We start from the raw sequence: 25523 nt of genomic DNA on the forward strand, positions 1-25523 counted from the left end.
TGCCACAGACTCCCCTGTTTGGAAAGAACCACAGTTTTTCCTCATGGAATCCCAAGAGTTGTAAGTGAATGGATTCCTCTCAGGTCTAAAACTCTGCTCTCTTTTCAACTGTGTTGACTGACCTTTTTGGCTTCTGGGGGATCAGAGTTTACTTTTTGTTTTCCTTTTTTTTTTTTTTTAATGAGATGGAGTCTCTCTCTGTCGCCCAGGCTGGAGTGCAATGGCACGATCTCAGCTCACTGAGACCTCTGCCTCTCAGGTTCAAGCGATTCTCCTGCCTCAGCCTCCCAAGTAGCTGGGACTACAGGCACATGCCACCACACCCGGCTAATTTTTGTGTTTTTAGTGTATTTTTAGTAGAGACAGGGTTTCACCATGTTGGTCAGGCTGGTCTCAAACTTCTGACCTCATGATCCGCCCAACTCAGCCTCCCAAAGTGCTGGGATTACAGACTTGAGCCACTGTGCCCGGCTCAGAGTTTACTTTGTACTGTAAAAAGACTCGACCTTCCTTGTGTAATGGCTGCTGGGTCAGTGGTAAGAGCTATGGTTTTTGAGGTAACTAACAGTGGTTAGTCAGTGATTATTACTTCAGAGGGCTACTCATCTCTTTGCATGTTTAGATAAGAAAGACATGGTTTAAACAACTAGAAAAAGTCCATTTTGGCAAAGTACACTATGGAAGTGTTTCACAGTATGATCCCCATGGCATATTCCTCTTCTTAGGGACGCGGGATTCAGTGAAATCCTTGAGTTTTAAAAGTCTAGATGCTGTCCCTTACAACTGGGTCTCCCTTTACACATTGAAATTATTAAGATCTAAAAATTACAAATACTTCGTTGGCCCTCTTCTTTAATGCGCTCCTCTCCAAGCTCCCTGGACCAGTTGGAAAACGGAGACCAAATTAAAATCTACATATCTAAATAAAATTTATCTCCTTATAAAATCCTATGGTAAATTTTTATCATTTTGGTGTTACCTTGGCATCTATTTTTAATCTTCCTTGAACACACCCAAATTCCTTCTTGTAAAACCTTAAATTCTCAATCTCTCTGTGCTTTGAGGTATACATTTGCTACCCATTTTCTAAAACTCAGTAAAGCCTTCCTCAGATAAATGTTAACCTTTTCCATTTACAAAGGCACAATTTGAATTCAACTGTCTTTTTAAAAATAGTGAGTTTTACTGGTCCCATGTTTAAACTCCTAAAATCAAAACACTAACATCTGTCTCCCTCTATGTTTATGTGGACATGTATATATGTTGTATCACATATGTGTATATGTCTATACATATGTTTATTATTTACACATGGTATCAAATTAATGTAAAGATAAATGAGTACTCATAAATTAAGTAAATAAGCTCAAATGCTTTTTTCAATACATGTAATTATAGTAATCTTTTATAAATATAGTTTTAAAATTATTGGTAGAATGAAGTAGAAATGTCTTAAAACACCTTGAACATTTAACAACCTTCCCAAAATCAAACTTCAGTTTCAAAATTGTCTTCCATGGCACCTGGCTTTTCAAATATTTCAGATGGCCCCTGAAGTGTCCAGGAAAGAGAGGTAAATAGGATTATTTGAGATGTTTAGGTACATGGGATTGCCAAAATGATGCTCAATCTTTTTTAGATTATATCTTGGTGAATAATGCTAATATATGTTCCAACATTGTATGGGATTTCTAAAATTCTAATGTCTGAGTATATGCTATCAATAATAATTAAGGTTTTTTTTTTTTCTTTTTAGACGGAGTCTTGCTCTGTTGCCCAGGCTGGAGTGCAGTGGCATGATCTTGGCTCACTGCAACCTCTGCCTCCTGGTTTAAGTAATTCTCCTGCCTCTACCTCCTGAGTAGCTGGAACTACAGGCACGTACCACCACGCCCGGCTAATTTTTTGTATTTTTAATAGAGACGGGGTTTCACTGTGTTAGCCAGGATGTTGATCTCCTGACCTCATGATCCACTCACCTCTGCCTCCCAAAGTGCTGGGATTACATTCATGAGCCACTGCGTGATTGTGTTTCTAACTGTAACTACCCTGGACATTTTGCTATTCACAGACAATTGTTATCTTGTTTTAATCCTTTTCAAAGATGGTTTATAATGAGCTATAGAACTTTAACAGGCACTCTCAAATACAAGCTTCTGATAACTTTGGAGATCATAACATTGGAATAAAGGAAAATGTACAGGACTCATAAAGAGCTTAAATGTTCAAGAATATCAAGCAAAACAAGAGTTAACTAAATGAACTGAACTCAGAAAGCTGAAGCAACATTTGTTTGGAATATTTTGCTGATTCTTGTTTTGCTTTTCAGAGTCAAGAAAACTTATTTGGAATTATTTACAGCTTTTAACAATTAAGTAAGGTATACACTTCTGTGATCAAGATTTGGAGCCTGTTTGTTTCTCTCTGCCTGGTTCCTCTAAAATTTGGAAACTATCTGTGAGTATTCCTATGGCAATACAGTTGTTTGAATCAGTGCAATAAGAATTCATTTTTCTTTTGCAACAGGACACAATTGGAGAAAGTGATTATTTTACCAAGGCTTTGACTGGAAGGCTATGCTTCCCTTGAAGGAGTCAGTCTTCACTTGGAGAACCAATAAAAGCCCCAGGAGGAGACTGGCCTCATACCCTTGTTTACACGGTCCCTGTACAGGGTTCATGACTTATGGTCAGTAAAGAATGTCACTTTCTAACAGGTCCAGGAGTTCCAAGTTTATTATGTGACTTTAAGAGGAGAGGATCACCCAACTCGGGGTTATTTAAGGATGCAAACCTATGGCTGGGCTTAGCTTTAAAAGGTCTTATCTGCAGGAGGCTGAGGCAGGAGAATGGCATGAACCCGGGAGGCGGAGCTTGCAGTGAGCCGAGATCGCGCCACTGCACTCCAGCCTGGGCGACAGAGCACAACTCTGTCTCAAAAAAAAAAAAAAAAAAAAGTCTCATCTGAGATTCCTTGGGGAACAGAGTTCCATCAAAATCAATCCAAAAGGCCTATGTAGAAATAATTATTCTTGGCCAGGTACAGTGGCTCACGCCTGTAATCCCAGCACTTTGGGAGGCCAAGGCGTGTGGATCATGAGGTCAGGAGATCAAGACCATCCTGGCTAACACGGTGAAACACTGTCTCTACTAAAAATACAAAAAATTAGCTGGGCATAGTGGCATGCGCCTGTAGTCCCAGCTGCTCAGGAGGCTGAGGCAGGTGAATCGCTTGAACCCAGGAGGCGGAGGTTGCAGTGAGTCGAGATCGCGCCACTGCACTCCAGCCTGGGTGACAGAGCGAGACTCCATCTCAAAAAACAAAAAAAAAAAAAGAAAAAAAGAAAAAGAAATACTTATTCTTGAAATAAAAGCTTAACAAGGTTTTCCTGAGGTGCTAATCTGTTCTTTGGCAAAATTTCTAAAGGGTTATAAAAGGCTTTTGCTTCTTTAAAATTTATGAGTCATCATTTTTGGCAAAATAAATAACATAGTAATCTGGAATTCTATTTCATAATAACATAATGAATATTTCATAAAATCTTATTAATCAAGTATTATGAATATCATAATATTTCATAAAATCACACAGGAAGCATTGTCACATATGAAATGGTGTTTTGCTTTCTTTGGGCTATATTTGTATAAATATGTTATTGGTATGTGTTCTAAAGTTATGGAAGACTCCTATAATTCTGATATATCTTAGTGTACATTATAAGTAATAATTATTATTGTTATGTTAAATTATTGTGTGACACAGAGTTAACAGATTTCCTTGTCAGTTGTGTCTTTAACTATGGCTACCCTAAAACTTTTTGTCATCCACAAACAGTTGTCTTGTTTTGGTCCTCTTTAAAAGGTGATTTTATAATCAGCTATAAAGGTCTAACAGGTGCTCTTGAATGCAGGTTTCTGATAAGTTTGGAGATAAGATGGTGACATCAGAATAGAGGAAAAACGTTCAGAACTCTTGAAGAGCTAAAATGTTCATTAATATCAAGCAGGACAGGAATTAACTGCGTGAACTGAAATAATAGCAGACTGGAGTGATCTTTTTAATGTTTTGCTGAAAACATTGCTAATCCTTTGTTTTGCTGTTCAGAGTCAAAGAAACTTCTCTTTTAAGCTATTGACAGTTTTTAACAATTTAGCATACTCCCATGAATAAAATTTGGAGCATATTTGTTTCTCTCTACCTGATTTTCTCAATAATTTGGAAACTATCTCTGAGTATTCTTAAGTTATGGCAATATAGTTATTTGCATAAGTGCAATAAGAATCTGTCTTCTTTTGTAACAGGACACAATTGGAAAAACTGGTTATTTTTACCAAGGCTTTGACTGGAATGGTAGATTCCTTTAAGTAATCAAACTTGACTTCATAGGTGGGGCTCGAGCGTTCATTTTGAAAAATGTTTCTGAGTGATTCCAATGTGTAGCTATATTTCCCATCAGATTTATCTGAATTTTTGTGGCATTCGCTCCTTTCTTTTTTGGTATTATAATTATTTTTCAGGTCTTATCTCCTCTCTTGGGTTTTATGTTCCCTGGGGTAGGGACCTTGCCTTCTTCATTTCTGTATCTTTCATGAACACATGAATTGGTCATCAGGAAAAGGTTCTCAACCACATGTTGGTTGTGTTCTGAGTCTCAGCTTTACACATTAGTGCTAGCGTCATTGTTCTCCATGAGATCAGAGGTTGCTTGTGATGAAGGTTGTGGGTAAGTCTGCAGTGCAGATGGTGGAGGAGAGATACCCTGTTTTTGTATATAGCATTGGAACTAAGAATATTATTTATATATGGGGTGGAGAGTCAGGGATGTGTAGGAAGACAGTTCTAATTAGGATGGAGGAATTATACTAGGGAATTATACTAGGGAATAGATGAAGTAAAGGAAGTAAGAAGTATTAGTAAAGAGAAGAAATGAGAACTTATCAAATTGGCCAGAGTAGACCCCTGTAGATTCTTGATTAGGTGAATTAACTAGATTTTAGGAAGGTAATGAGACAGTCATATGCAAGGAAGATTTCAAAGTCTGGAGACAAGAAGTCAAGCAGGACTTCGAGCAGTTGTTGAGGTTTATGGGAATGGAGAGAATGACACAAGTGAGAGATGTTAAAAAAGGATCAAGAGTCTTTGGCAATGTACTGAATCTGAGAAATGAATGAGTGGAGGCTGGGGATAATTACATTTAAAAGACAGTGGGGGTACAGGGAGCATAAAGACCAGGGAGAAGACCTACAGGAATTAGTGCTGAGAAACAAGATTGGTGGAAGGAGGAGTAGATCCACTCCCAGATACAGGCAAAGAAGTTCTCTCCCTCTCCCAAGCATGGCAGTCATCCTTGGAGTAAACAGGACAAGAGGAAAGGCCATCATACTTGCCAGTCTTAGTGAAATGCAGAAACTACACCTGGGTTGCTATATTAGAGCCACCCCAGCCAGTACTCCAGTCATGATGCCGACAGTGATCCCAGCTGAGAGGCCAGGAGAACTTCCTTATCCTGAAGCAGCTGTCATGGAAAGAAAAGAAGAGAATAAATGAAGGTGATGTTATTTTACAGTGGAGTGCCCCAGGAGCCAACTCTCAGGATGAAGTAATTTCTACTTGTTTCTTCAAGGAATACATTATTTTTGTGGGAAAGTTGCTGGGAGGTGGTTAGCCAACTATATCCTTGAAATTTGTCTTCTTCTCACTGTTTCTATGTTGGCCATCAGTCTTCTGTCAATTCTGTCCTGGCCTTTCTGCACTCAGATATTTTTGAAGGCTTTGGGATATGAGAAAAGCTGATTGCTATTTTCTACATCATTAGAACTTTCCACCTTTTCATGATTGCATCTTTTTTTCTCAGTGTCTCAGTTTGGGCAGGCATGAATTAGACCCTGTCAGATCTCTATGGCAGGGACTTGATTGACAGAAGGTTCAGGTCAGCGCATTCCAAATTCACCCACTCCTTTGCACAGAGACCTTGCTTCTCAGGGACTCCCAGCAGGGGTATGAAAGCAAGCCCAGTTCTGTGAGACTTTGTTTTATTCTCATGTGTGACTGGTTGGAGGACTCCCCATCAGCCTTGCTGAAACTCTCTTAGAACTGCCTTGATACCTAAAACTTCTTTGTCTTTCTCCTTCACAGGAATCAGGTCTGCATCATGGTCTGAGGGCTTTCCCAGGCTCCTTCCATGCCTGCCCCACTTTCCCTCACCTGCATTTTTCCTAATAAATTATCTTGCATATCTAATCCCATCTTGGCTGCATCTCAGTGGGTAAAAATGAACATACCAGGCTTGATTGTTTGCACTTAGCTTTTGTTCTTTCTCTCCCACATGTAGTCAGTAACCATGTTCTAGTGTTTTCTGTGTTACCTGTGCTTCCATATACGTATATATATGTGTGTGTGTGTGTGTGTGTGTATTTACATAAAATACCTTGTCTACACACACACACACACAAACACATACACACACGCAATACCTTTTGCATCTGTTTCTTTATTTCTGTTGCAAGCATTTACTTTTAGCCCTCACTAGTCAACTCAGGCTGGTGATTAATGCTATGTTAGTTACGGTTGAGGGGCACCTCCTATATGCCAGGCCCTGTGGTAAATACTTTACCTGTATATTATTTGATTTGTACAATAAACCTGTCAGGTAGACATTGTTTCCATTTTACAGACGAAAAGCTGGAGGCTTAGAGTGGTGAAGAAACTTTCCTGATGTCATATGGCTAGTGAAAGGCGAATCTGAGATTTGACTCTAGGCCTCACTTCAAGGCTAATATTAATAGTAGTAATAAAGCAGGTAACATTTATAAGACATTTCCTCTGCATTTTATGGAAGGTTTCATTGATAATTACATTAAACCTTTAGAACAATACTATGAAGCAAGCACTTTCATTGCAAATTTCAGTTGAGGAATCAGAGGCTCAGAGAAGTTAAAAATCTTGTACAAGAAATTTATAACTGTAAACTCTTACATTAGAAAAGAAGAAAGATCTCAAATCAACAACATAATTTACAACTTCAGGATATAGGAGAAGAACAAACTAAACCCAGCCATAGTGAATGAAAAAAATAATAAGGATTAGAGTGAATATAAATAAAATGGAGAATAAAAAAATGGAAGAGATTAATGAAACCAAAATTGGTTCTTCAAAATAAGATCAACAAAACTGACAACCATTAACTTGATTGACTGAGAAAAAAGAGAGAAGATTTAAATTACTAAAATCGGAAATGAAAATGGAGTCTGGGCATGGTGGCTCATATTTTAATTCTAGCACTTTCAGAGGTGTGTGGGAGGATCACTTAAGGCCAGGAGTTCATGACCAGGCTGGGAAACACATGAATATCCAGTCTGTATAAAAAATTCAAAACATAATTTGCAGGGCATAGTGGCATGCACCTCTAGTCCCAGCTACTTGGGAGGCTGAAGAAAAAAGATTGCATGAGCCCAAGAGGTTGAGGCTGTAGTGACCCATGATTGTGCCTCTGCATTCCAGCCTGGGCTGGCCTATAGAGTGAGACCCTGTCTCTCTTAGGAGACATTACTACCAATTCTAAAGAAATAATGATTACAAAAGTACTGTGAATAATGTATGCCAATAAATTATATAACCTAGATGAAATGGACAAATTTCTGGAAACACACAAGAAAACCCGAGTAGACATACAATTAGTAATAAGATTGAACCAATAAAAGCATTTGACAAAATTCAATATTCTTTCATAATAAAAACATTCTAACTATAAATGGAAGGAAACCACCTCAACATAGTAAAGGTAATATGTGAAAAGCCCAATGCTAACATCATACTTAAGGGAGAAAGAGTGTAAGTTTTTTCTGTATTATCAGAAACAAGGCAATGATTCCTGCTTTATCTACTTTCATTAAACATAGTATTGAAAGTCCTAGTCAGAAAAATTAGACAAGGAAGAAAAAAGACATTCACATTGGAAAGGAGTAGAATTATCTCTGTTTGCAGATAACTTGAATGTACATCTAGAAAACTCTGAAGATAGAAAAAACCATTAGAATTAATAAATCAATTCAACAATATTGCGGGATTCAAAATCAACGTGAAAACATTAGTTATATTTCTATAAACTAACAATAAACCATCTGAAAGGAAATTAAAAAAAATTTCAATTCACATTAACATCAAAAAGAATAAAATATTTATAAGTTTAAGCAAGGAGGTGAAAGAATTCTACCCTGAAAACTACAAAATATTGCTGAAAGAAATTAAAAATGACATCAGTAAATGGAAAGACACTTTGTTTTCATGGACTAGAAGACTCAACATTGTTAGGAGGACAATACTATCCAAAAACGTCAGATTCAAAGAAATTTATATCAGAATCCCAGTAACATTATTTGTAGAAACAGAAAAATCTATCCTAAAATTCATATGGAGTCTCAGGGCTCTAAATAGCCAAACAATTCTGAAAATGAAGAGCAAAGGCAAAGTACTCATACTTTCTGATTTCAGCATTTACTACAAAGCCACAGTAATCAATACAGTGTGCTGCTGGCATAAAGGAGGACATAGAAACCAATGGCATAGAATAGAGATCCCAGAAAGAAATGCTTGCATATATGGCCAAATGATTATCAACAAGGCTGCCAAGACCATTCAATGGAAAAAGGACAGTCTTTTCAACAAATGATATTGGACAAGCTGGATAGCAATGGGCAAGAATGAGTGGAACCTTTATCTAACACCATGTACAAAAATTAACCCACAGTGGATCAAAGACCTAAATGTCATAGCAAAAATAAAACTCTTAGAAGAAAACATAGGGGAAAAGCTACATGACATTGGATTTCACAATGATTTTTTGGTTATAACAACAAAAGCATAGGCAACTAAAAAAATGGGTAAATTGGACTTCATGAAAATTAAAAACTTTTATATATCAAAGAACATTATCAAGAAAGTGAAATGAAAAGGCAACCCATGAAGTGGGAAAAATATTTGTAAATCATATATCTGATAAGGAATTAATTTCCAGAATATATGAAGAACTACTACAAATGAACAACAGCAAAAATCCAAAAACCCGATTAAAAAATGGACAAAGGACTAAAATAGAGATTTCTCCAAGGAAGATATACAAATGGCCAATAAGCACATGCGAAGATGCTCAACATCACTAATACTTAGGGATATGCAAATTAAAACCACAAGGATGCACCACCTCACACACATTAGGATAGCTTTGATAAAACAACAGCAACAACACCACCACCACAAAACAAGTGTTTTCAAGTAGGTGCAAAAATTGAAGCTCTATTGCATTGCTGATGGCAATGTAAAATGTTATACTGCTGTGGAAAATGGTATGGCTGTTTCTCAAAAAATTAAAGAATTACCATTTGATCCAGCAGTTCTGCTTCTGGACATATACCCAAAGAACTGAAAGGAATTTGAACAGATATTTGTACACTGATGTTCACAGCAGCATCACTGACAACAGCCAACAGGTTGTTGTGATGAACTGAACTGAAAAGTTAATTGAAAGATAAGTGCATAGAAAACTGAGGTATATCCATACACTGGAATGTTATTCAATCTTAACAAGGAATACAATTCAGATACGTTGTGCAAAATGAAGGAACCTTGAAGACATTTATGCTAAGTGAAATAAGCCAGACACAAAAGGACAATTATTAGATAATTTCATTTGTAGGTGGCTGACGCCTGTAATCCCAACACTTTGGGAGGCTAAGGCAGGCGGATCACTTGAGGTTAGGAGTTCAAGAACAGCCTGGCCCGCATGTTGAAACCCAGTCTCTACTAAAAATACAAAAATTAGCCAGGCATGGTGGTGTGTGCCTATAATCCCAGCTACTCAGGAGGCTTAAGCACGAGAATCGCTTGAACCTGGGAAGCAGAGGTTGTGGTGAGCCAAGATTATGCCACTGCACTCAAGCCTGGGCGACAGACCCTTACTCTTAAGGGTCTGTCTTCAAAAGAAAAGAAAAGAAAAAGATAGAATAGCCAATTACATTGAGACAGAAAGTAGAATGATGGTTACCAAGGGTTAGGGGGAGAAGGAGTGAGAGTTTCTGTTTATTGGGTACAGAGGTTTAGTATGGTGAGATGAAAAAGTTCTGGAAATGGATAGTGTGATGGTTACACAACACTAAATTGCACACTTAGAAATAGTTAATGGTAAGTCTTACATCGGGTATACAGTGGCTGGTAGTCTTACCCTCTATAAATACACACTTTTTGGTACTGCCCTTTCCCTCCCATGCATCTCTGTGTGTCTCCAAGTGTGCATCACTCACTGTCCTCTGTGCTTTGTCCCATGTGCTGTGCTCACAGCCTCATACAGCCAGTGACTTCAGAACCAGGACACAGCTCAGGAGTCTGCCCCAAGGCTCCTTTTCTTCCCATTTTTCTACATCCTCACCTAGGGGAAAACTTTGCTTCCACTGGCAGCTCAGTTTAGCCAGATTCCAGACAGGCCACCTGGGCACCTTCTTGACACACCCCAGCCCCACCCCAGGTAGAGTCAGGGCAAGGCCAGTCACAGCTGGGAGCAGAGTCTCAGCTACTCCTTCCTCATCTGAGGGGCTTTCTTCTCTCATTTGAGGGAAAAATGTGAGCTTGTTTCAAGCCTTGGATGTTCCCTGCAGCTCAAGTGTGGGTAAAAGTAAACGAAGGGGTGCACAGAAAAGGATGTGTTGGTAAAATAGAGAAGAAACTTGACCTTGAGGACCCTCCTTCTTCCCTCTCTGTAAAGCTCCTTCCACTACATTGGGCTTGGGGCTGATGAAGCCTCCTTCCTACGTTTCTCAGGCTGGACCTGAGTTCATCCGTGAGAAATCAGTAAAACAAAAGGAAGAGTCTGTAGAGATGAATTGGGAGGGGTCAGGAGAAAAATTTGGGATTTGCTTGTGCCCATGGGACACAGGCTGGGAATAAAAATGTTTTCCTGGTTCTTCTCAGAAAGCCAAATAGACTTCACCTGAAAACCTGTTGCCAGTGCTCCCCTTACCAGTGACTGTGATCTTCTTGATCGTGAAACACCTGCTGTCAGTGGCTGAGTTGCGAACGAAACAGATGTAGATTCCACTATTCTTTTTAGTGATTTTGGAGATAAAGAGCTCTTGTGCTGATTTTTGGAACTTCCCATTAATCTGCCAAGAATACTGTGGGGGTGGGTTAGAGGCTGTGTTGCAGGAGAGGTTGAGGTTTTCCCCTGGATGGTAATAGGAGTAAGAGGGGGAAATGTTGGGGTCGTCTGGGCCATCTGGAGCAAAGAAAATAGAGCCAAAAGTCATGTCATCAGAGGGAAGGAAAAGCTCCTGGTCTGTGGAAGAGCCACAGTGTCCCTCTGAGCCAAGTCACAACCCTGAAGTCCCAGCCAAACCCCCGCTGTGGTCACTGAGCCAGAGTCTGAGAATTCACCTGTTTCTCCCATTACAAGCTGTGGACCCTGAGGTCTCCCATGACAGGAGCAGCCCCTCCCCTTGGATTCATGGTCAAGGCTGGACCTACCCAGGTTTGCCTGGGGCAGGAAGTCATGGCCAGCCTGGGTGCCCAGGAGTAAAGGTCTCTGTACTTGGACCTGAGAGGGACTGAGAGGCCTGGCCTCTGGCCATGTGGATTTGGGCTGGCAGCCTGGGCTACAGAGGAACAGAAGATACTACAGAGGACATTCAGGGTGACTGGGTCACTGTGGTTGGCACTCACTAGATTCCGGATTTCACATTCATATGTTCCTGCGTCCTTCCTTGTGACTCTGGGTAGAGTGAGGGTCCTGTTGTCATTGGACAGCTTCAGCCTGGGACTGACCGGGAGGCTCTGACCATTTACCCACCACAGGTAAGTTGTGTTCTGAATCTCAGTTTCACAGGTTAAGGCCGCAGTATCCTCATTCTCCACGGGGTTGGAGTTGCTGATGGTGACGAAGGGCTTGGATAGTTTCGCTGTGCAGAAAACAGAAGATTGCCCTGTGTGGCAACTTTTATCGCTCCATGGACACTTTTTGATCAGAGTTGGAATTTCCTGTCTCTCAGCCCAATTGAGTCCTTGAAAGCCCATGGCAGGTGTGTATGTCAGAAAACAGATGCATGGCAATCTGAGGGCTCAGAGACCATGAGGCCACCTGTTCTGTCTTAGAGAAGCATAGACTTTCTGAAGTGTAAATTGAGCAGCAGTGTTGGGTCATGGACTGACACATGACCAACAGTCACAGCCCCTGGTGTCTCTCCTGGTTTCTCCCTGTCCAGCTGACTGGCTGGCCCAACTTAGGGTCCTCACCTGGAACGTGCAGCTGCTGGGCCCCTTCCAGCTTCAGTTCTACTTTGCCCTCCTAGGTGTGTTTTCTCTGTGACTTCTCTTTCAAGAACATCCTAGAGATGGGTGTTGATAGACTTTCCATTGTCCTTAAACCCTGTGGATACTGGGTAGCCTGGCCTGGAACTAGATGTTTTCAGCAGAAATAACACAGGGGAGACCAGGGGCAAGCCTGAAGATCAGTTTGGTCTTCAGGCAGTGGAGCCACAAGTCAGGGCAGTTTTCCTGAGATGTTTCATAGTGACTGACTTGAGCCAGTGACCCCTAAAGATAGAGGAGAGTCTAAGGAATGATCTAGAAAAAGTGAAGAGAACAGAAAAGAGCTGGTAGCTTTGGATCAGAATCACGTTCCCTGTCCTGGGTCCTTGATGCTTTCTCTCCCCCTGCAGGTGAGGACCATGTGGATCTTTCTAGAAATATATGTAGACATTCGCAAATGCAGAATTGACTGGAGGAAAAGGGGAGCATAAAATGCTGGAAATCTGGCCCTCATAGATCATGTTTATTTGGTGGATATGAGACAGAAATTTGGGAAGAAGTTTTGCAAATGTTTTCTCTGATTGGACATTCTACTCTCTGATTCCATGAGTTTGACTACCCTAGGGACCTCATATAAGTGGATTCCAGAGTACACTTCTATTATGATTTGTTTTTAATAAATGGGGTCTGGAGAGAGAAAAATTATGCTTTAAAAGAAATTCTATAGTACATCTGTTGTTGGTTGTTCTTGAGTTTTATTCTGCAGTTTGGACCAAATCATAGATTCTTAGTGGGCTTCAGGTTCCCAAACTAAAGCTTTCAAAACTTTACCTTTAAAATTGGGAATTGTACTCTTCATCCTAGTAGTCATTATTTACCTTATACTATGCTGTTAACTTAAATACTGAAACTGTAAATGAGAGTACTAATGCCTTGGTCATGCAAGCCTTGGAGCTTTAGCGTGGCTCACATGAGTATGCTTAGACAGCTGCAAAGTGGTTTCACTCCTCTCACCTTGGGATCAACTCCCATTCCCACTATGTCCCCTGTCAGCAGGAAGCCAGAGCAATTGATGACCTTTTTCTATCTTCATAGCCTACACCTTAATCTTAAAGTGTCTTAAAACTCAGAGGAAGGGATTGAAGATGCCTTTGCAAAGTTATGACTGAAACAGTGAAAGAGATCTAACTGAATCAACCCCATCTTGCTTCTGACCTTTAAGCTGTTCGTGTTCCTTCCTGGGTATAGGCAGAACCACTTTGGGAGGAACTTGGTTTATAGTTTAAAACAAGATGATAACAGCTCTTTCCCCAAACAAACCTCCCTCTTGCCTAGGGACTAGAATGCCTTTGTAGGACTAACAACCACAAGATTAGAAATTATGGTTTAGGAGTCACACAGCTGGAGGCTACAAGATTTTGACCCTCATGTCAGTGCTTGAGGTATTTTGCAGACCCTGCCCTTGGTGGATCAGCTGGCACCAACCAGATCAATAAACTGGCTCATCTGACCTTGTGGCCCCCATGCAGGAACTGACTCAGCACAAGAGGACAGCTTCAACTTTCCATGATTTCACCTCTGACCCAACCAATCAGCACTCTTGACTCACTTGCCTTCTCCCACTCACCAAATTATCTTTAAAATCTCTGATGCCCGAATGCTCAGAGACTTATTTGAGTACTAATAAAACTCTGGTCTCCTGCACAGCCAGTTCTATATGAATTACTCTTTCTCTACTGCCAATCCATTGTCTTGATAAATTGTCTCTGTCTAGGCAGTGGGCAAGGTGAACCCACTGGGTGGTTACAAATTGAGCCCATGAGCTTTGGGGACTGCAGACCTGTGCTTCTGACTCTAACTCCGTGGTGAGTCAGTGTAGAAACTGAAACCACCTTTGTAAAGATTATGACAGTGAGAGCAAGCTAGCATGGCTGACTCCATCTAGCCTCTAGCTTCAGGCTGGCCATCCTCATTAATTCCCAGGCATAGGCCAGGCTAACCATGGGAAGAATTTGTAGTTTAACTTTGAAGCAATGATGATAATAGTCCCCCTTAAAATTTACCCCCTCCTTGCTCAGGGACTGCCTTTGTAAAACTAATGAAAGACCATGAGATTAAGATTATTGGAGGGTCCCAAATTTTGCTAAAATGTAGGCATAGTTTCTGCAATTCCTTACTGCTCAGGACTCATGTGTACAGAGGTCACAAGATTTATGACTTCCTTAATTGCTTCTATAGATAACATCACTATTGTAGAACCTGAGATTGGTCTTTTAAGATGTTCCTCAGACTTTTGCATTTTGGCAACCAGCATAACTCATCCAGACCCATGATTAATGATTCATCCATTCATGTGGCTTCCATCCAGAGGCAGATTTAACACAAACAGATCATTTTCCCCACCTGCATGATTTCATCCCCAACCAGTCAGCAGTACTCATTCCTTAGACCTCTGCAGCTGAAACTATCCTTGAAAACCTCTAATTTCTGAGCCACTAGAGAGGCTAATTTGTACAATAATAAACTTCTGTCCTCCTGTTTGACAGTCTTTGCCTAACTAAAATCTTTTGTAACTGCAAGTCACCATCTCAGTAAATTGGTTTTGTCTGTGCAGGGTGCAAGAGGAACCCATCAGGTGATTATAAGAGTGGACTGAGGAGTTGCTCATTTCTTTCCAGTGGCTTGTTTCATGTTTTGGCTCACGGAGGAAGAGAACCCTGGATGGGGACACAGTGGAAGCTTGTTCTCCTGGTGATCTGGGGATATTGGCTCATGATGGAGCCTGGCAGGGGTGACTGCTCTGGCTGATTTCTGTGCCTTTCCTATTGTCCAGGAGGTGGGCCAGGCTACAGTGTGAATAGGAAGGGAACAGAACAGTCAGCCTTGTTAGAGGGAGTGTCTGGGGAAGGCCTACGTGTGGGGGAAGCTGTGCAGGGTGCAGTATCGTAGCTGGAATGAAGGGGGAGGAAAATGAGGGACATGGAGGAGCAGAGACACCCATGGCAGTGAGCAGTGGGGGCTACAGTGACCTAAAAGACCTCAAGGTCCAGGGGCCCCCACTTCCTTAGTCCAGGACCAGGGAGCCCTGGAAACCCTTCTATGCCCAGGGAGCCTCAGTGTCACATGAGATGGGGTGGCTTTAGGAGTAGGGGTTCATAGGGATAGAACATGGGTCTCAGGCCCTGAAGGACAGAAAACCAGTGTGGACAGAAACTCCTAGGATTCTGTATCCAGAATCAGGTATCTAAAGAGGTTATAGATTATTCATTCCTTCATTCATTCCCTCCCTCCTTCACGAGAAAGCTTCTGAGTGTGTATGTTACATTGGGCCTGTGCTGCTGCAGGGTGCCAGTGGGGAGAGAAAGCTATGACCTCTCTTTTATCCTCCCATGGGAGTGACACCAACACATTGGGATACAAGATTTCAGGTCCAGTGAGGGGCATTAGGATCTGAGGGGGAGGACTGGATATTCCTTGCACTGACTTTGATCATTGAGGCAGGCAATTTAGTTCTGGAGTAAAAACTTATCAGTTGTCCATTTGCTCTCACTCCTCTGAGGTCTAGATAAGCATGAAGAAAGGATTTGAGCCAATGGATGACTGTGGGGTCCCCAGGACCCCCAAATCCCCACTTCTGGTGGAGGAGAGGATGGGGCTGTGGCTGCAGCCAGACCTCTAGTGACTCTGATCTGCCACTTGTGTTTGTGTGACCCTGGTTCAGTGACTATGCCTCCCTGTGTCTCAGTTTTCTCCCAGTCAGATAAGCTAAATGGCAAATGGTCTGTGGCTTGTCATGTTGTCTGTGAATGAAGTTTAAATTATTCACAGTCACCTGACCTAATGCTTGGCACAGAGGACGTGTTCACACAAACAATGTTTATTATTATTTGCCTGCATGAAAGAGCATATCTAGGCCTGATCCATGATGAACAAGATGCTACCAGGAACATCTTCTCTCTTCTGTTTCTGCCCCTGAAGACATTGAATTATCTACGGAGTCTCTTAAGTCTCCCAGGGCAGTTGGCTGATGGCCTAAGAAGCTTGTCCATCTGTCCTCTGCACTCTGAGTCTCAGGTGAAGGACTAGGCTCTGTCCATGCCCAGATGAGGCTCTGGGTGCTGAGCCCTGGCTGTTAAACAGCTCCAGGAACCATGGCCCTTGTACAGCTGGTAAACCTTTGCTCCCAGTCAGCCCTGCCCAGGAGGCCACAACCTAACCCTGGCACACATTCCCGAGGGTCACATGAAGTCAGGATTCTGGGACCGGGTTCTGGGGCTGAGGCTTCCAGGGTTGAACTTCTCTAAGAGAATCCCCGAGGGCCCCCCAGGCCAGGCCCTGACCCAGTTCTCCAAGGAATTTCTCAGGGTCATGTCCATGGGGAAGGCACGGAGTGCTTGGCTGAGACTGTTCTCCACCTGCTGTGTCCCTCCCATCAGACTGTCCTTCCTCTGCAGTGAATGTCTGCAGGGTCTGGATTTGGGGAAACAATTTTGATCTGCAGATGTTTGTCTCCCCTGTGTGTGTCCTGCACTAAATGCTCAAACCCTAAAATGGGACATAATGCAGAGGGCTACACAGGCACAGTCCAGGTCTAACAGTCCTGTGTGTTTGAAGTAGAACTGACCCCCGACACCCAGAAGTCATGAGGAATCACTCACGGTGTACGCTGATCTGTGCAGTTACTTTTTCAGTCATAAGATCTGCCTTTAAAATTTGCACGGTGTAGGATCCTGAGTCATTCAGGGCGATGTTCCAGATCTCCAGGCGTGCTTTGGGGTATACTGTCTCTTGGCCACTGTATGCAGGCCCTGGGATAGTTACTTCATTGTGTATTACATATCTTGCAATTCAGTCGTCGGCATCTATTGTTTCCCCTTTGTACCAGTTGTGGCCAAGTATATCCTGGGGCAGATTGTAGACAAGTAGAACAACCTCCTTCTCCTCTACCGCATTAGATGGCAGAACTTCAACTGTAACTTGGGCAGTGGTGGGTGGGTTCCAGAAGGTGAAAAGTGAGGCTAGGAGAGAGAGAGAGAGCATCAGTCAACATTGGGACCTATGTATTGGGGGGGAAAGATGGGGCCCTGTGTCCTGAGAAGGTCTCTTCACCCCTCAGCCTTTGAGTATGTATGTGTGTGTGTGTCCTACTGAGTCAAGGTTAGCAGCATGATCCCCATTCCTTCAACATCTCTGACCTTGGCATTTTCCTGTTTGGAATCCTCTTCCCCAGGGGTCTGCTCGGCCCCCTCCCCACTGCCCTCAGGTCCTGCTCACATCAGGCATCCTTGGGAGACTCTTCCCCTGACACCTCCTCTAGAGACCCTGGGTCTTCCCTTGCTGACCTTTCCCTGTTCTGTTTACTCCACAACTCCTGTCAACACCTGACCTCACATTCTAGATCTCTTTGCATGTCTGTCTTCCTTCCCATGAAAGCATGAGCTCTGTGAGAGCAGGGTCTTGTGTGATCTTGGTTGCACCTCAGTTCCTGGGACAGGCTGCAGACTCCTGTGGATGAGCTCATGAGCGTTCCCAAGGTCTTCCATGTCCTGGACCAATTTCTGAGGTTGGAGGCTGAGGATAATGTTTCATGCCCTGGTTATGTTTTTATTTGAAGTGTCATCTGATATAGTTATTATTATCATTTTTCAAAATTTAGTGGCCAGTGATGATTAACCAGGAAAACAGAATACTTAAGATTTTCCTACCTCTTACCAGTTCCAGTTTTATATGATTTTCCTGTTGTGACCCCTGTTCCTCTCTGGTGTCCTCTCCCGTATCCAGGCTCCAACAGAAGCCCTCAGTCCCCGCTCAGAGCTCTGTCCTCCCCAGGAGACCCCAGCCAGTCACTCTGCTTCCTCCTTGTGTTCACTCCCAGAAAGTTCTCTCTTCACCTGTGAGCAGGAGCCCCTGTCAGGGGATGCGCTGTGTGCAGGGAGGGGCTGAGAGGGGCCTCATGGCTTGTGCTGCCTGTGTGTTCTCTTCTGTGGAGGTGAGCCTGGGATCCGGAAACTTTCTGAGCATGGTTGTCAGCTGTGCTGTGCTTCCTCCTTCTGCGCTGAGCCTCTTCCCAGGGCAGGAGCGCCTCTCAGGCTCATGGTTGGGGTCTGTGCCCAGGACACCTCTCTGTCCCCTCCCCTCTCAGTCCTGCCTCCCTGTCTCTTTTCTACCTTTCTCTTCTGTCTGTGTTTCAGGCCCCTGGGAATTGCTGAGGCCTCTGCCTCCTTCAGCAGTGATTCTCTCACCCAACCTCTACACATGCTATGTGCAGACACACAGACACACACACAAAGAGACACACAGATACACATAGTCACACAGAAACCCTGTAGTTTGGGTGAGCCCAGTTCTGGGTCCTCAGCATCCAGCCATGTTTATGGCTCCAGGTCAGCCTGCACAGTTACCCCTTCTGCCCTCTTCCATCCCCACCTGGCTCTTCCGTTCAGAGCAGGAGGCTTGGACTGCACCAGGGCCCTGTCACAGGGATCTACCCTCACTGTGCTTTGGGTGAGCTGAGTGCTGGCTGGTGAGAGGGACCCTTTTTCTCATTGTGTCAATATTGGCTACAGTTTCCAAGGATGGACATTCAATGACCCGGGTGTCCCAGAAGAGACTGTCCTTCCTGGAGGTGTGCAGGATGAATCTCTCATGCCTTCTGGGAAGAGAGGCCTCTGCTGGTTGGTCAGTGGGGGCTGTGGTCCCAGGAACTGGTCTCAGCCACTCTCTTGCACCCTGGGTTCTGGTTGCTGAGCTGGGGCTGAGGCCCATTCATGTTTTCTCTGACTATCTTTGGTGTCCCGTCATCTGCCCAGCTGACTGTCCTGTGGTCACTCCACCTTCCCCAAGGCTGATGCAGCAGGGAGTAGGGGGCTGCCCAGGGACTTCACAGGACATGGCTCTCTGAGACCCAGGACAGAGAACCTGGGACAGAGCAGGGGCTCAGAGCTGAAGACATTCAATCTGACTTACTCTGTGGCCAGGATGGGCTCAGCCCTCCCTGTGCTGACATTCCCTGGGGTCTGTCCTGAGGGTTTTGACCTTGTCAAGGCCCTCAGTGTAGAGGAAGAACAGGCAGTGGCAGCAGACCCCATGTGGGGGTCACTGCTCACACCTGAGAGGGCAGATGGGGTGGAATTTTGGGATGGATTCATATTTAAGGAATGATCCAACAGTAGACAATTTTGAAAATGTACAGAAATTCCTATGCTATAAGTTTATTCTGCATAAGGTATTTTTTCTTAATAAGATAATTGACTTTTCATTCATAGATAGCTAATATGGCCTAAAATGGTGAGAACATCAGAGTGGACTGTTTGGTGTCTTGTGGTGTGGTTTCATGCTTTATTTCTCCCACCCCATATCTACAGAATTCTCCATATTCCGTTTTGTAATGTAACTCAGTGGGTGTCATTCTGGTTTGTGGTTACAGACCATTGGAAAACCCGTACCCTCTCTGCTGCGAGGTACAGGCAGCAATGTGGCATCAGCTCTAAACATGCTTTCTCCCGTGACATCAAATTGCTGATTAAGTAAAAGTCATTTCAACAGATACTGAAGATGTCAGTTGTACCCCTCACATACTCACAATTCTTTCACCAAGAGATGAAGGATTTTACTGGTGAGTTGCTTTGAGAGGTTAGTGTAGATCTGATTCTGTCAGGGCCACTTTTGCCCTCTGAGTGGGCATTTGGCAAAGTCTGGAGAAATTGTTGGTTGACAGAACTGGGGGAGGGAGTCCTGTGGCATTGAGTGGGTAGAGTTCCCAGAGGGTGCTGAACACCCTGCTGCTCACAGAGCCCCATTAGCATGACCACCCCTGTGTCAATGCTGAGGAGTGCAGAACCCTGCTGTGCCCTTCTTTAGCTTCCCTGGGTCTTCCCCAGACCTGATCCTTTCATCTTTCTGGACTGCTTTCCCATCTCAGCTCCCTCCTTGCACCTTAGTTCCCTCCATCTGAACTCACACTTAGTCCAAGGCCAGCCCTGATCTCTCAACTCTCTTGGCCCCTTTTTGCTCCTTAGCAGGAGGGAACCACTAGAGGGCACCCTCACCATTCCTGGAGCTCATGCCCTCCCTTTCAATTTTGAGACAAATATGGCTGCTTTTACTGTCACAACTCCAGCCCTCCGCATTCTTTAGCTTTACTCAGGCAGCAGCACCTGGACAGGCATCATGGACCCCAGGGAGGACTGTCACTCTGGAGATTTTGGTGGCATGGACTGGAGACCTGAAGCCACCCCAAGGCCCAAGTCACTGGGGAGAGGCTGGGTCCAGGTGAGGGAGCTTCACACTTGGTCCAGATGCCCCTGCCTAGTGTGGGCACTGGGGACATGTCCATTTGTCTGTGTCCCTAAAGGTCCTGTCACTCAGGATCTGTGCCTGAGGGCTTTGACAGAGCTGCTGTGGAGCTTTCCACATGGGGCCTTTCCCAGTGGAGCACGAGTCCTCCCAGGGATTTCAAGGAGGGCCGTTGCCTGGAAGAATCAGAAGGAATGTGGCAGCCACCAGGTGCAGGCTCCTCTCAGGGCCTGAAAAAAGGGACCTCTTTTCATCATTTGCCACTCATGTCTGCACTGTCTGCATCAGGATGGAATGATGTGGAATTTCATGCAAGGTCATTTTGCTTCTGTTCTGCTAATAATTTTTTTTCTAGTTAATCTTTTGAAGTAAAGGCAATTGTTGACTTTTGGGTGTTAAACTCACCTTTCATTTTTGGGGAACAAACTCAATGTGGTAAATCCTGACTTTTTTGGGGTCATATTTCATTTGTGGATTTTCCCTCTCTGTTCCCAAGTAGGGCATGCAGTTTTACTTTTTCATTGCATGATATTCACCTCCCTGTGTCCATGTGTTCTCATTGTTCAACTCCCACTTATGAGTGAGAACATGCGGTGATTCGTTTTCTGTTCCTGTGTTAGTTTGCTGAGAATGATGGTTTCCAGCTTCATCCATGTCTCTTCAAAGGACATGAACTCATCTTTTTTTATGGATGCGTAGTATTTCATGGTGTATATGTGCCACATTTTCTTTATCCAGTCTATCATTGATGGGCATTTGGGCATTTGGGTTGGTTTCAAGTCTTTGCTATTGAGAGTAGTGCAGCAATAAACATATGTGTGCATGTGTCTTTATAGTAGAATGATTTATAATCCTTTGGGTATATACCCAGTAATGGGACTGCTGGGTCAAATGGTATTTCTGGTTCTAGATCCTTGAGGAATCGCCACACCATCTTCCACAATGGTTGAGCTAATTTACACTCCCACCAACAGTGTAAAAGCATTCCTATTTCTCCACATCCTCTCCAGCATCTCTTGTTTCCTGACTTTTTAATGATTACCATTCTAACTGGTGTGAAATGGTATCTCATTGTGGTTTTGATTTACATTCCTTTAATGACCAGTGATGATGGGATTTTTTTCATATGTTTGCTGGCTGCATAAATGTCTTCTTTTTAGAAGTGTCTGTTCGTATCCTTTGCCCACTTTTTGATGGGGTTGTTTGATTTTTTTCTTGTAATTTGTTTAAGTTCTGTGTAGATTCTGGATATTAGCCCTTTGTCAGATGGATAGATTGCAAAACTTTTCTCCTATTCTGTAGGTTGCCTCTTCACTCTGATGATAGTTTCTTTTGCTGTGCAGAAGCTCTTTAGTTTAATTAGATCCAATTGGTCAATTTTGGCTTTTGTTGCCATTGCTTTTGGTGATTTAGTCATGAAGTCTTTGCCCATGCCTATGTCCTGAATGGTATTGCCTAGGTTTTCTTCTTGGGTTTTTACGGTTTTAGGTCTTACGTTTAAGTCTTTAATCCAGCTTGAGTTAATTTTTGTATAAGATGTAAGGGAGGGGTCCAGTTTCAGTTTTCTGCATATGGCCAGCCAGTTTTCCCAATACCATTTATTAAATAGGAGCTTTCAACCCTGCCACAGCTGCGTTTATACCCATTCTTTCTCACTGCTAACGCAGTTTATTTCTTCTTCTTCTATTGCTTTGTTGATGAATTAGTCCAGAAGTTTAAATAACCTTTTGAATGCTTTGGGTTTTTAAATTTGTCTTCTAGTTTATTATTTTCTACCTTTAAGTTTCTTACACTTTTATTCTACTTGCTTTGTTTTTCACTCACTTCTTATTTGGATGATTAACTCATTTTTAATCAATGTTTTCAGTGGAAGCATTTTGGGTTGTGAATTCCCTGGGGCATCACTGTGGCTGCATCTTACGACTTTTGGTAGATGTAGCTGTTAGTCAAGTACCAGGTACTTAATATGTTCATCACTGTGTCTTGATTGACCCGTGCTTTGAAAATCCCCAGATGTCTAATTTTTCTAATTTCTAAAATTTATGTTATAGCGATTACATCTAGATCGAACTGTATACAAAATATGTGCTTGAGTAAAAATTATTCAATAATATCTGCTAATATATGAGTAAGCCCAGTCTTCATAAATGTTCCTTGTGGACTTGAAGAGAACGTCTATGGTGCAGGGTATTTGGCTGTAGTGTGCCATCGTCATTGCCTGTTGATTGTGTGGTTGAAATGTGTATCATTTGTAGAGATTAGGCATGTTCCTTGAGTACTGACAAAGTCTTTAAAGTGACTTATTGTGGACAACATGGACATTCACAGTGTTAGGTGGATAACTAGCAACTGTCTTGAACAGAACAACATATTCCTGGACATGTTCCAAATGAATAAAACTTAAATGTCAAATCAAAGCCACCAAAGCACCTCAAAGTGGGGAAGGACTTTGTTATTGTATAGCCAAGGAAGAAAAGATTGATACCCATGAAAATTTCGAAAAGAGTCTTCACGTCAAAAAATTCTCTTTAAGGAAAACAAATACTATCTTAAACTATTTGCCATTATAATAAACAGGTAATGTGCTATTATATAAAGGATACTCAAAATTAACAAGACTAAAGAATAGCAGAAGGCAAATATATGAAAATCAGTTCACAGAAGAAATGTTAATGCTCACTGTTTTCAAGATCATGATGTTTATTTAACATATTAGAGTTCCTAGCCTGAAGCAATAAGAAATGAAAGATAAATCAGTGGTATGAGGATTAAAAAACTAGAAATAAAACCATCATTAATTTCAAAGAATAACATTGTTTATATAGAAAGATTCAAAATAGTCTAATGGAAATAATTAGAAATAATAAGAGAGTTTAGGGAGCTGAGTAGTATAAGAATAGACTAAAATATGTTAATTTAACAACAAACAACTAGATAGTGTAATTAAAGAGAACATAATAGTGCCAGAGAATATAAAATATTTAGGAATCAATTCAACCAAAACCAAAATGCACACAATCTCTTCAGACAAAATTATAGCAATCAAGAAACACTAAAGCAGGCCTTACTAAATGGAGAACTATACCATATTTATGCATCAGAAAAATAAATTTTCTAAAGATATCAATTCTGTTTGAATTGATGTATTGATTACATATAAATAGGTTCACCACATTGATTACAAATCTCTGAGGCCAAAAAGTTGTAAAACTTTCCTTTTGTCTCAACATTTATTTTAGATTCAGAGGGTGCATGTGCAGGTTTGTTCCCTGGGTATATTGTGTGATGCTGAGGTTTGGGGTACAAATGGTGCTCTCATCCAGGTATTGTGCATAGCACTGAACATTTCGTTTTTCATTTCTTGCCTGCTTTCTTCCCTCCCCCTTTAGTAGTTCCTAGCTTCTCCTGTTGCCATTTTTAAAAAAAAATTATTTATTTATTTATTTATTTATTGATCATTCTTGGGTGTTTCTCGCAGAGGGGGATTTGGCAGGGCCATAGGACAACAGTGGAGGGAAGGTCAGCAGATAAATAAGTGAACAAAGGTCTCTGGTTTTCTTAGGCAGAGGACCCTGCGGCCTTCCGCAGTGTTTGTGTCCCTGGGTACTTGAGATTAGGGAGTGGTGATGACTCTTAAAGAGCATGCTGACTTCAAGCATCTGTTTAACAAAGCACATCTTGCACCGCCCTTAATCCATTCAATCCTGAGTGGACACAGCACATGTTTCAGAGAGCACAGGGTTGGGGGTAAGGTCATAGATCAACAGCATCCCAAGGCAGAAGAACTTTTCTTAGTACAGAATAAAATGAAGTCTCCCATGTCTACTTCTTTCTACACAGACACAGCAACAACCTGATTTCTCTATCTTTTCCCCACCTTTCCCCCTTTTCTACTCCACAAAACCGCCATCGTCATCATGGCCTGTTCTCAATGAGCTGTTGGGTACACCTCCCAGACGGGGTGGTGGCCGGGCAGAGGGGCTCCTCACTTCCCAGAAGGGGCGGCCAGGCAGAGGCGCCCCCCACCTCCCGGACGGGGCGGCTGGCCGGGCGGGGGCTGACCCCCCACCTCCCTCCCGGACGGGGCGGCTGGCCGGGCAGGGGCTGACCCCCCACCTCCCTCCCGGATGGGGCGGCTGGCCGCGCGGGGGGCTGACTCCCCCACCTCCCTCCCGGACGGGGCAGCTGGCCGGGCGGGGGCTGACCCCCCACCTCCCTTGCGGACGGGGCGGCTGGCCGGGCGGGGGCTGCCCCCCACCTCCCTCCCGGACGGGGTGGCTGCCGGGCGGAGACGCTCCTCACTTCCCAGACGGGGCGGCTGCCGGGTGGAGGGGCTCCTCACTTCTCAGACGGGGCGGCTGCCAGGCAGAGGGTCTCCTCACTTCTCAGATGGGGCGGCTGCTGGGCGGAGGGGCTCCTCACTTCTCAGACGGGGCGGCTGCCAGGCGGAGGGGCTCCTTACTTCTCAGACGGGGCGGCTGCCGGGCGGAGGGGCTCCTCACTTCTCAGACAGGGTGGCCGGGCAGAGACGCTCCTCACCTCCCAGACGGGGTCGCAGCCGGGCAGAGGCACTCCTCACATCCCAGATGGGGCGGCGGGGCAGAGGCGCTCCCCACATCTCAGACGATGGGCGGCAGGGCAGAGATGCTTCTCACTTCCTAGATGGGATGGCGGCCAGGAAGAGGCGCTCCTCACTTCCCAGACTGGGCAGCCAGGCAGAGGGGCTCCTCACATCCTAGACGATGGGCGGCCAGGCAGAGACGCTCCTCACTTCCCAGACGGGGTGGCGGCCGGGCAGAGGCTGCAATCTCGGCACTTTGGGAGGCCAAGGCAGGCGGCTGGGAGGTGGAGGTTGTAGCAAGCCGAGATCACCATTGAGCACTGAGTGAACGAGACTCCGTCTGCAATCCTGGCACCTCGGGAGGCCGAGGCTGGCG

At 43.6% G+C, this 25523-nt stretch overlaps 1 long non-coding RNA gene and 1 pseudogene across 2 annotated transcripts in view, besides 2 other annotated features; one reads left to right on the forward strand and one right to left on the reverse strand.

The window, feature by feature from the left end:
- Window positions 1-25523, forward strand: part of LIPE-AS1 (LIPE antisense RNA 1) — a 255208-nt gene that overhangs the window by 217641 nt on the left and 12044 nt on the right. The gene's annotated exons all lie outside the window — the stretch shown is intronic.
- On the reverse strand, window positions 5385-18348 carry CEACAMP1 (CEA cell adhesion molecule pseudogene 1; annotated as a pseudogene).
- Window positions 13248-14447: an enhancer, noted in NCBI's record as "CDK7 strongly-dependent group 2 enhancer chr19:43132188-43133387 (GRCh37/hg19 assembly coordinates)". NCBI's record gives its function as "activates an origin of replication core promoter dependent on BRD2, BRD4, P300/CBP, MED14 and CDK7 cofactors, with strong dependence on CDK7, by STARR-seq in HCT116 cells {active_cell/tissue: HCT116}" and the evidence as "EXISTENCE:reporter gene assay evidence [ECO:0000049][PMID:35650434]".
- Window positions 14059-14128: an enhancer, noted in NCBI's record as "active region_14722". NCBI's record gives its function as "activates an Ori minimal core promoter by ATAC-STARR-seq in GM12878 lymphoblastoid cells {active_cell/tissue: GM12878}" and the evidence as "EXISTENCE:reporter gene assay evidence [ECO:0000049][PMID:35858748]".

Source organism: Homo sapiens, chromosome 19 (assembly GCF_000001405.40).
Source record: "Homo sapiens chromosome 19, GRCh38.p14 Primary Assembly".
Classification (NCBI taxonomy): domain Eukaryota; kingdom Metazoa; phylum Chordata; class Mammalia; order Primates; family Hominidae; genus Homo; species Homo sapiens.